Raw genomic sequence first — 12,878 nt, forward strand, 5'->3', positions numbered from 1 at the left:
AAACACTGTACTAAATTGTCTCTCTGACATATCACAAAGAGCAGCAGGTTTGGAGTCAGGATAGACTGGCTTGAATTCTTTAAAAAAAAAAAAAATCAGCCTTTCTGGCTGGGCACAATGGCTCACTTCTGTAATCCCAGCATTTTAAGAGTCCAAGACAGGTGGATCACCTGAGGTCAGGAGCTCAAGACCAGCCTGGCCAACATGGTGAAACCCCGTCTCTACTAAAAATACAAAAATTAGCTGGGCATGTGCCTGTAATCCCAGCTACTTGGGAGGCTGAGGAGGGAGAATCGCTTGAACCTGGGAGGCAGAGGTTGCAGTGAGCCAAGACTGTGCCACTGCACTCCAGCCTGGGTGAAAGAGCGAGACTCCATCTCAAAAAAAGAGAGAGAGAGACTCAACTACTTTTTTAAGATAAGTTAAACAAAAGAAGTGAAGTGTCCCATGTCTTGCATCTATTTCATTGGCAAGAAGGATTATCTAAATGACATTGAAGACGGGGTGTCAGTATTTAGATGATGAAGGTTTCCATGAGTTCTTGTTTTGGGGAACAGAATGAATCCATACATGAGTTCCTGTTTTGGGGAACAGAATGAATCCATACAGTTACAGAGATATAGAGTGCCTAGAGACAGTAGCCCAATTTTTTGGTTGCAGGTTTCCTATGCTATTTACATGTTTCAGAAAACCTAGTGAATGTTTAGATGCTATGCATGTTGTCCAGCAGCTGTACTCAGGAAAAGCAAGAGCAACATTTGTGAGTTTCATTACATCTTATTTTATTATTTCCATAAAATTGTGTTTTATTATGCAATCACAAGGACTTCTAAGCCACCAAGAGACTGACAAGGATTTCGCTTTGCAGAACAACCCCTAAAACAGAACAAATTCAATTATCCAGAGGCCTATTTTGTAGGAGAGGTAATCTTTGCTTTAGAATTTTTAAAATTGTATTCTTAAAGCACAAATGTGACTCATAGGCAGGTGTATTTCCATTTAGAGAACTCAACCAGTAGCTGAGGATATAGGAGCAAGGTCTAGATCTCAGAAAAAGTTACGAACAAGCTAAGCAAGAGATTAGGGATATCGCTAAAGGGACCCAAGTTCAGGACGAGACTTCAATACAGTGAAAGAACTAGAAGACACTTAGTTCCTTGGCAATCAAGACTGGAGAAAATGGAGACTCAATCTAAGACTTCAGATTGTTGGGCTAAGAAGATGCTCAAATGTGCCCATCCCAGGTACATAACATATAGTCTAGGCTTATCGAGGCACAAAAGCTGATAAAGAACCCTAAGTTTCTTCCAGCTTTTGTTTTGACTAAGTTGGGAATTTTGCCTGCAACGTAAGTGCTTTGGTACCTGTATCAGGGTCAATCTGCGAAGGCAAAGACCGAGACTTCCCGTTTATAGCAGTTCCAAACCTGCTCCGCTTTCAGCCCTGTTTTGTTGTTGTTGTTGTTGTTGTTGCTGCTGCTGCTGTTGTTGTTGTTGTTGTGAGATTCTGCCTCTGTTGCCCAGGCTGGAGTGCAGTGGTGTGATCTTGGCTCACTGCAACCTCCGTCTCCCTGGTTCAAGCAATTCTCCTGCCTCACCTTTGGAGTAGCTGGGATCACAGGTGTGCACCACCACGCCTGGCTAATTTTTGTATTTTTGGTAGAGATGGGGTCTCACCATGTTAGTCAGGCTGGTCTCAAACTCCTAACCTCAGGTGATCTACCTGCCTCGGCCTCCCAAAGCGCTGGGATTACAGGTATGAGCCACTGCACCCAGCCCCCAACCCTCTGTTCTCTTTTTTATGTATCATGAAATAGTAGAATACATCTGAGTCATCAGAACTGACAGCCTCTGCTTACAAAAGCAACAGATCAGCAGGTCCTAAGTTAACGCTTTGACCTCACCGTCTACCTCTCTTCCCCCTGCCTTCATTGTTTCTCAAACATGCAGAAGGAGGTGCAACTTAGGGCCTTTGCAGGTACTGCTCCTTCTGGCTGGTACAAGCATCACCATACAGCCAAATGACTGGTTCTTTCTTGTCTTTCAGTTCTTGGCTAAAATGTTGCCTTCTCAATGAGGACTTTCCTGATCAACCTTTTTTAAATTACCCTATTCTCCCCAAGGCATTAATAACATCATGTCAGAGCTCTTAGCAAAATCTGAAACTATCTTGTTGGGTTTTAATTTGCTTACTGAAATGGCAGATGTGCAAGGTTTTTTCTTATCACTTATTGTGTTAAATGAATCAAGATACTCAGAGTGCTTCTCTTGAGAAAACCTATGCCTCACTTAGGTTGACAAAGTTTCAACACATGAACACAGGAGGCATATATAGTATATACATGTATTTCATCAGTCCCAAAGAACAACTGGCGACATGACTAGCTTTATAAAATTGCAAGGCGTTGGATGGGGGAGCTAGGGAACTTTACAAAACACACAAGGTCTCTGAACCAAAAATCAACATTGGCTGTGAACAGTAACATGGATTATCAGTGACATTTTTTGCTTCCATTTACAACTGTTTACAGTGGATTTTTTTTTAACTGACCAACTCTTTAGTTTGTGGAGTTGGTTTTACATCTCTAGGCCTGGTTTTTAAAGATATTCTTAATTTTGATGAAAATCTTCATTATGATCTCCTGGACTGGATGTAACATTTAAAAAAATCTCCTAACAACATATATCCTAGTAATGCAGTCTCTGGGGTAGTGGGAAAAAGTCAGGACTGGGAGTCACAAGACCCAGGCTGAGGCCCTAAATAAGTTCCACTTATTCAACAAAAATTGAATATGTGCCAGGCACTGTTTTAGCAAATTCAAATAGTGAATATGACAGACAAAGTGTCTGTCCCTTAGGAATTATGTTCTACTGGGGATAGGGAGAGGGTGATAAAAATACCCTTTTTTCATCTGCAGTTTTCTCTTCTAAAAATAGGTGGGCATTAGACTAGATCATCTGGAAAGTTTCTCCTAGCTCTACATGTTCCGAGAGAGAGGAAAGAAAATTTGAAAGGCTTCGCAGTAGTTATTTTAGGGAAGTAAAATCCTAGATTTAAATTTTTTTTTCTTTTTGGTCATCATTGCTTTCTGATATTTTTTCTATAATGAACATGCATTACAATATGAAATGAAAAAATGTTTAAGAAAAACAGTAGAGATTTTCCTTTCAACCGTGAGCATTGGTTTCTAGTGACCTGAAGGTACAACATTCATCCATTAGTAATGGGAGCTGTAAATGGGAATTGTCTTGCCTCTCCAGTGACTTATTAATCTTTGCCTAATGGGGCTTTAGGGAACCTGCTCAGGGGATCTTTATGCTCCTTTTCCCATTACTTCAGTGTGTACCGGTCTCTTCTCTTTTCCTCGAACACTTGAAGTTCTTCTCCACCTAGGAATATTTAGGCTCAGTTGGCCTCATCTCACCCTTCAACCTTCACATCTCAGCTTAAATGTTAATTCCATAGATGCCTTAACAGAGCAATCTAAAACCTAAATTCCCTTCCTACTTTACTACTCACCATATCATCCTTGGTATTTCCTATATTATCTCTATTCTGCTTTTCTCTTACAGAGCACTCTTGTCAACTTGTAGTTTCATGTCTTTTGTTTCTATATAAACTTAGTCTATTTTCCCCCACAGTCTGAAGTTTCATTGTGAAGACAGGGATAGTCTGTTGTGTTGAGGCTATATTCCTAGGGCCTAACAGTGCCTGTCACATCATAGATACTCAACTAATATTGATGGAGTAAATGAATAAATGAATGAATGAAATGGCTCCTTTGTCCTCTCTCTGTTAAGTGTTTTATTCCCATACAGTGTTGTGCTGCAGGCAAGCCCTTTGCCAGCTCACAAGAGTGAACGGTTAATTTTTCAGGGATTTTGCAAGCCAATTGTTAAGCTTAGTGGCTTGACATTGGCCTTGGTTGGGGTATATATATACCATAGACATAGGGAAATGCTGCATGTTAAGACTTTTTATTCCCACAAAGAGCTGGTTTACCAGCATACCTCTACTCTCATCTTCTAAATCAAACTATAAATATTGAGCTATCATGCAAAATCATGCCCATAGGTTATTTAAAATATTTCAATAAAAAAGTATTGAATTTAAAAAATATTAAATACATGCTATATAATTATTTACCTGTGGGAAATAGTTCTTTTATAAGCTAACTTATAATCTAAAATATGTGTCTCTGATCTCCTAAAGTTTGTTTCCTGTTTTTCATTCAGATCCTTATGTGAAGATTCATCTGATGCAGAATGGTAAGAGGCTGAAGAAGAAAAAGACAACAATTAAAAAGAACACACTTAACCCCTACTACAATGAGTCATTCAGCTTTGAAGTACCTTTTGAACAAATCCAGGTAATGTCAAACATAACTTTGTCTTCCCACTCAATTTCATTCCTTCAGACCACATAAATTATACACACAGACCTTGTAAGTTATCAGTGCACATGCCTTCATTAGAACTGCCATTCTTTCTCCCCATGCACATTTGATGCTTGAGCTACATCAGGAAGGATAAAATATACAGCACAGGATGTGCTGACTCATCAGCCCAAAACAGCTGGCACTGTGTTGAGCAGAAATAAAGTAGGAAAAAGAAAATCAACAGAACAACTCTGCTAACTCAAAAAGTGCATCTATAAAAGTTAAAAAGCCCAGAGAAAACTATGAGCTTTCACTATTTACTCCCAGGCCATAAATAAGTCTCCCCATGAGATCTTTAGAGCAAAAAATAGTGATAAGAGAAATATTTTTGGTTGATGCTAAATATGCAGCATATTGAGTCTTTATTAAAAGATGATTAACAATAGAAAAATTAGGCTAAGTTGTGTTTTCAATTATTTAAATCCAGCTTCCTGTGTCTGAGTTGGAATGGATGGCTATTTTATTAAAAATGGAGCCTTAATATGCCAGACAATAATTATGAAGGGAAATATTCTATTAAATATCCTTGTAGTTAATATGTTCATATTAAGTTGCTATATGTAGCCACAATGATAACATGCAATCTTATCATTTAGGGGTTTTTGAAAATATTTACATTTTCTCACCCCATCTCCATAGTTAGCCTATAAGAATCTAAAGATAATATCCAATAATTTTGGGCCATTTCTTGCAAATCTTTAATGGGCATCAGAGAGTCAAACTGCATAAAGCAACACTATTTTTACATTTTATTAAATAATTGGCGCAGGTGTATATTTTCAGTGATACACAAGTTTGCCCATAACTTGAAGGAAAAACAAAGAGCAGACATCAAACCTACAACAAAGAACCTTCTAAAGGTCCAGAATAACAAATACTCTTTATTTATTTTATTTTATTTATTTTAATTGCCAAATAGTAGTTGTACATATTCATGGGGCACATAGTAATGTTTTCATATATATAATGTATTGTAATCAAATCAGAGTAGTTAGCATATTTATCATCTCAAACATTTATCATTTGTTTGTCTTGGGAACAGTCAATATCCTACTTGTAGCTATTTGAAATTATATCATATGTTATTGTTAACTATAGCCATCCTGTAGTGGTACAGAACACTAGAATTCATTCCTCCTATGTAGCTGTGATTTTATATCCTTAAACAAATCTCTCCCTACCTTCCCCTTCCCAGTCTTTAGTATCCTTTGTTCTACCTTTTATTTCTATGATATCAACTTTTCTTTAGCTTCCACATGAGTAAGAACATACAGTGTTTACTTTCTGTTCCTGGCTTATTTCACTTAACATAATGTCTGCCAGTTCCATCCATTGCCACAAATGACAGGATTCATTCTTTTTTATGGCCGAATAGTATTCCATTGTGTATATGTACCACATTTTATTTATCCATTCATCTGTTGTTGGACACCTAGGTTAATTCTGTATGTTGGCTGTTGTGAATAGTGCCATACCACTCTTAATATGCCAAATTGTGTCTTCATTTACCTTTAATCTATTCTTAGAAGACAGTATCTTATGAATTAATCACAGCTTTATTCCAAGAAGAAAGCTAATATAATAGCTACACTTATTTTATATATATAAAATATATATTTTATATATATAATAAGTATAGCTATATAATATATACATATATAAAATAAGTATAGCTATTATGTTAGCTTTCTTCATGGAAACATTAATCCAAAGACATATATATATATATATATATATATATATATATATATATATATATTATGCCTAGGTCCAAGTTAACCACTTTATGTATGTAATCTCATTTCATACTTAGAAGAACTTTATGAGAAAAGTACTATTGTTATTATCCTAATTTTATATGTGAAAAAACTGAGGCTTAGAATTTCTTTACATGTAAAATAAGAATGATAACAGTCCTTGTCAAAGTGACATTATGCATATAAAAGCACTTGGAACAGCGCCCAATACATAGGAACACACAGTAAATGGTCCTGTCATCATCATCATTATTATTCACATGCTAATGTCCTCTCTTTTTCAAGTTAACATTTTATTAGAAAATAGATCTAACAATAAGATTAAATCAGTATATAAATCAGTGCTGTCTAATAGAACTTTGTGATGATTGAAATATTCTATCATCCATGCTGTCCAATAATATGATAGCCACAGCTGGCCAATGAGCACCTCAGTCACTAATTTGACCAAGGAACGTTATTTAACTTCCATGTATTTAAATTTAAATTGATATAGCTAGATGTGGCTGGTAGCTACTCTGTAGTATAGGGCAGTCTTAAATGACCAAAAATAACCAATAACTCTACCATCTTTGTATTGGTTGATAGTTTTAAATACAACCTTTATCATATAAATTTTCACATGGTGTCAAATTATACATACTTATTTACTTTCAACATCTGTTACATAAGTAAATGCAGAGGACACTGGTTCCCTGTTCCCAATAACTTTTTCACTAGCCTGAACCAGCGGGCCCCCTGCTTTGGACCCACTCACAAACCCTCAAGACATCAATTTTTTCCAACGATTTATTTTGCAATATTTATTCAGTGAACTTTTTTGAGTTCTAAGACCTTATTCCTATGGAAACTAACACCTCCTGGCATTTAATTTTTTTAATTCCACAAAATAAATATAAAGCAAGGCATTGAGATGAAAACTCCCATTGAGCTACAATTCTATGCCTTTAAAATAAATATCCTTTTCAACTACAAACTGCAGAAAATGCAGGTATATTGAAAGTGAAGCACATTAAAAATAAGACACATGCTAGGTTTCTGGGGCAGCATTTCAGAGGCAATAGCGTTTTGTCAGGACAGACAGAAACTATGCCCAATATAGAATACATTAGACATGGAAATAATGAGCATTCCTTTGACTGTATCCCTCTTTCTCTGCTCCTTGAGTCACTTTGTTCTTTTTTTTTTCCTTTTTTTATAGGAGGCAACTTTTCTAGTCTTCACCTTTTTCTAGAAAAAAATAATTGAGTATTTCACATGCTAAAATAGGGTCTTAAGTTTGCCTTATCCTGAGGTTATAAGACAATCTGCCTGTCCTTCTGTCTTTCTCTATCCCTATGAAATGTATTATGAAAGAAGCAAAATATGCTAATTTCCAAATGCATGTGAGAATGTAAGCCCTTCTCCCCCAAATGTAGAAATAAACTACATATGCAGCTGGAAACATTAATCCAAAGGCTTCACAAGGATATTTTGTCTTGAATGCTACTAATCAATGCATTCCTAAGTGGAATAATCAAACTCTAAAAACTTCTGTTACCTTTGTGTGTCATGTCCCCCACCCCATTCATTACAATATGATTGCTTCCTGATAAATTTGCTTAGAACAAGCTCTAAGAATCAGTATAGCCCTCTTCTTTGTTCCAGAAACTATCCAGTGGATAGTTAATTCCTTTCACAATGGAATCACTCCAAGGGAAGATTGTCCGTTTTATTGACAATGTGTTGCATTTCACATTCTAAATTCCACTTGCAGAAGTGATTGTTTTCTCTGCTCTGAAGCTGTATATCAATGACATTTCTCATTTCATTAATATAATAAACCAGTCTCCAGCATATAAAGTCCACTAAAGGGCCCTAACTCAGCTGGTTCTTAATCTGGCCCTAGCTTTTATAATTACATTTTCTGCTACTTTCAACTCTGGCAATAAATGTTACATATTCCATTTATTTTAAACTCTTACCTTTACACTCAGCTGCTAGATTGAAACCATCACATATTCTGCTAAGTAAATTCATTACTTAGGAAGTAGAACTGAAATTTGCTTTTAAAAAGTATATATTTTATACCATAATGGTATAGGTTTGCTTTCATCAGTTCAATCATTCAGAAAAGGAAGTCATCAAATAAACTTTCAAAATCTGATGGAATCATTGAATAAATCCCGTGTAGCCTAAACTGATATTTCCATTTGATATCAATGCCAGATACATTGTAGTTACTCAGTAAATGTTTACTAAGAGAACGTATGGATGAGAAAAAAATATCTTTATTACTACTTTTTAACCATACTTTTCACTATACTATCATGTTTTATGCTCACAATCATATGATTAGTTGAAATTCTATATTAATTCTATATTAATTTTTTTGTAACATGCTGTCCCCCCACCCTTAAAATCAGATTATTGCACATGGTTGCCTTGGGAATTGTAATCAAATAGAGTGGGCTGAACACCAATGCCAGAACTTTCACTGATAAGACAACTGAAGCAAATGAATTTAGAGGTTAGCACAAGTTGACACAGACTCCATGGCATGGAGGTTCACAGCATAGGCTCTGAAAACCAAACAACTCATTCCTTAAACAACCTCAGACAGGTTATATAACTTCTCAGAGCTTCAAGCATCCTTACCTGTATAATGGCAATATTAATAGGATCTATTATGAGAAGTAACTGAGTTCATTCATGTAAAAGACTTAGTGCAAAGTATATAATAAAAATTAACGTTTGAGTATTAAGATTCAAGTCATTTTCATCCTCATCCTAGTGCTTGGAGATTGATTCTTCTATTTCCAATTCTTTAGCGCTCAAGGACGCTTTATAGTCGGGCCTTATCTCTAGAGCTAGATGATTCATATTCATTTCATGGCTTCTTTCAGAAAGTGCAGGTGGTGGTAACTGTTTTGGACTATGACAAGATTGGCAAGAACGATGCCATCGGCAAAGTCTTTGTGGGCTACAACAGCACCGGCGCGGAGCTGCGACACTGGTCAGACATGCTGGCCAACCCCAGGCGACCTATTGCCCAGTGGCACACCCTGCAGGTAGAGGAGGAAGTTGATGCCATGCTGGCCGTCAAGAAGTAAAGGAAAGAAGAAGCCTTTCTGCATTTGCCCATATAGTGCTCTTTAGCCAGTATCTGTAAATACCTCAGTAATATGGGTCCTTTCATTTTTCCAGCCATGCATTCCTAACACAATTCAGTGGTACTTGGAATCCTGTTTTAATTTGCACAAATTTAAATGTAGAGAGCCCCTAAGTCCTTCATCATACCACTGCCCTCCAAATCTACTCTTCTTTTAAGCAATATGATGTGTAGATAGAGCATGAATGAAATTATTTATTGTATCACACTGTTGTATATACCAGTATGCTAAAGATTTATTTCTAGTTTGTGTATTTGTATGTTGTAAGCGTTTCCTAATCTGTGTATATCTAGATGTTTTTAATAAGATGTTCTATTTTAAACTATGTAAATTGACTGAGATATAGGAGAGCTGATAATATATTATACGGTAAATATAGTATCGTCTGCATTCCAGCAAAAATATCAACTCGTAAGGCACTAGTACAGTTAAACTGACATCTTAAAGGACAACTTAAACCTGAGCTTTCTATTGAATCATTTGAGTACCAAGATAAACTTACACCACATACTTGGTGGGTGAATCCAATTTTGTAGAATTCCTACACAGGCAAAATAGCATGATCTGAGCAGCAGCATCCAGGCTGACCTCAAGGAAGCATAGCCACAAAACAGAATAGCACCTGTCTGTACATATTTACAAAGCTAAAATAATGGCTTCACTCTTATATTTGAGGAAGCAACTGAACAGGAGTCAATGATTTCATATTACTGCATATAGAATAACAACAAGGTGTTCCGTGTGTGTGTGTGTGTGTGTGTGTGTGTGTGTGTGCACATTTGTTTGGGGATGGGGGAGAAGAAGCTAAGGGGAGAAGTCAACATTTATGAAATATTGCCTGACTATTTAAAAAGAAAAAAGTAGCTCTCCATTATCACCTTTATACAAAATGTACATCCTGTGAATTCTGTTCCAGATTTCACACCTACAATAATTCCAAAAGGTTTGCACATTAGAGTTTGTAACAAAATATTTTATTATATAAAACCAGGTTAGAAGGAATGCAGGATATTTTTAACACAACAATCTGTGCTTATTACACAAAATTACTTTGTGGTAAACAGACAGTATTGTAATCCCATCAAAAGATGAAAGAAAAACAAAAACAAAAACCAACAACAATTAGCCATAGTTCTGAATGCACTTCAATTAAGCCAAAACAGACAGCTAGTGATCTTTTTATATGCTCTTTTTACTTAAGTTTTAATTTGTCCTTTAAAAAAAGGTGAAACAAACCAAGAACAAGTTCTAGAAAACTGAAGCAACCTCTTATGTATACTAGATGCTTGATTTAGGAGGAGTTTTTAAACGTTTTCAATGTTATTATGTAGTAAATGACACTATTATGAAGCTACTAGTCATTCCATAAGAGTCTTAAAGGACTGCTCTGTGTAACACTGTGACTGCCGTGTGTGCTTAGACCCGTAGTTTCCTCAGTGGATAGCACTCAATTTATTCCGTAGTGATATTGTAACAATACTGCCATTCCCTTCTACTGCACTGCCCAAGGTGTGTGTAGCACAAACAGTTCTCATTACAAAGGACCAATTCAGAACTGAAAAGCTATGCATAGGACAAGGAAGATACATAGAATGGGGTGGAACACAGCATTTTGTCAAGCACTGTGCAATATTCCATATTTTTCCCCACTATGGTAGACAACCATTTCGTGGAAGGGCAGCCTATTATCCCACACTGCATCTAGCCTTTTGTCCCATTCACTTCTGTGATCCATTTTAATTTCCAGGCCACAAGACAGTAGTGATGCTCTGAAATGAAAGTTTGTCTTCACAAATATCAAAACAAAATGGAGGAAAACTAAGCATTGGCCTCATGTTCAGTCTTCAGGATATCACACCACGTCTTTTCAAAAACTAAAGAGAATTCAAAAAGGGCTGATGGTAGGCTTTGAACATGGGGTTGGCTGTTTCCCAGTAAAACTGGAATTCCTGTCGTTACTGTTTCCTTATCAAAGAAGGGGCAAGCTCTTTTGCCTTTTAGGCCAGACATAGCAAACGCTTTATAATTGGCATAGACATAAAGGATAAAAGGAAAATAACCGTCTGCCGATGGTCCGTACTTCTTAAAAAACATAGGTAATAGAAAATATACACAAGTCAGAATGTGAAATTAAATAATGGTTTGAACAGAAAATTCAAACAAGACTCTTTCCAATTTAAAGGGCCAAACCCTACCAAAGAGAGGGAGTTGACTGGCTTTTAAAAAGTATTTAAATACCACAAATGACATTTAATTTCACTGTATTCAGCTTTAAGTTGTTCACAATGAAACCACACTTTCAAACAAGCAGGTTCAAGCTGCTGAATAGACATTATTTCTTGCATTAAAATACCACTAATGCATTCTCTTGCAACACTGCCAGACATGGGATTGTCACCATAGAATTAGTTGGTACTATGCCATCTTTCACTCTTTCACAAGTCAGTGATGGAACCTGCTTTATGACCAAGATTCATCCTCAAATAAGCCACATGTACCCTTCTGACAAAGCTGTGTAAAGTATTAGAATCTGATGCTCTAGAAAGATCCTAGTTGCCTTTGTGTATATTTACTGCCTGCTTGAGTGTTTCTATGTGTGGGTTTTCCCTGTATCTTGTAGAAATGTTGGGGTGTTTTCCTCTGCCATATGGCTCGTGGCCTGCGAGCCAACTATTTCAGCTGTATTTTACCTTCATTTTTGATGAGGTGATTTAAATTTTGTTTCACTTTGTGTAGTGAATTCCACAGTAGTTTTCTGATTGTTGTTAAAAATGACTTAACATATTACACAGATATTCAATAAAAATGTTTTATTTCCTGTTGATGTTGCTGCGTTCCCACTCTTTTCCTTGCCTGACTCTGGTGGTAAGCCAATGGCCTATTGACTTTGGGGGACTCCTGGAAGCAGCAGCAGCTAAACAAAACTGCACTGAATGCCAGCATCTGAGTCACATCTGAGTACAGAATAGCTAGAGGGAAAACAACACCCGGGAGCATTTGGCCATGACCGCGTGGTGTTCCTGGGCAGTGTCATTCTCAACATGTGTTTCTCTATTCCTGTGTGTCATCAGTTCATCTGGCGTACTCTGAGGCTTTTCACTTTGCCCAGCATGTGTCCTTCAGGGTTTTCACTCCAGAACCCAAGTCACACAGCTTCTCCAGAATGGGACGGAAAACAAAACTATTTAAACCCCAGTTTCAGAGGACAGTATGACACATTAAATTCTATGCCTACTACGATCGCTATGGGAAACAAGTAAATACTTTTCCTCCACTAAATTTAACATTTATCAAGTGCCTACTGTACTGGACGCTGAAGCCCACAGTTTCAGGCTGATGTAAATACGCTATCCCAATGCACTGTGATGTGGGCTTAAAAGTAAGGGTGTTGGGTCCCTGAGGACTTTTTTTTTTTTTTTTTTTTTTTTTTTTTTTTTTGCGGAGTCTCGCTCTGTTGCCAGGCTGGAGTGCAGTGGTGCGATCTCGGCTCACGGCAACCTCCACTTCCCGGCTTCAAGCGATTCTCCTGCT

General features: G+C 36.9%; 1 protein-coding gene across 16 annotated transcripts in view; it reads left to right on the top strand.

Moving 5' to 3' along the window:
- Positions 1-12,171, top strand: part of SYT1 (synaptotagmin 1) — a 588,027-nt gene extending 575,856 nt beyond the window's left edge. For all 16 annotated transcript variants that reach the window (NM_001135805.2, NM_001415940.1, NM_001415943.1 and 13 more), the window contains 2 exons: positions 4,236-4,369; positions 9,081-12,171. In NM_001135805.2, the coding sequence (NP_001129277.1) occupies positions 4,236-4,369; positions 9,081-9,287 (341 nt within the window). In that variant the 3' untranslated portion in view covers positions 9,288-12,171. The remainder of the gene's footprint in view (positions 1-4,235; positions 4,370-9,080) is intronic.
- The last annotated feature ends 707 nt before the right edge of the window (positions 12,172-12,878 follow it).

This window comes from Homo sapiens, chromosome 12, assembly GCF_000001405.40.
Source record: "Homo sapiens chromosome 12, GRCh38.p14 Primary Assembly".
NCBI lineage: Eukaryota > Metazoa > Chordata > Mammalia > Primates > Hominidae > Homo > Homo sapiens.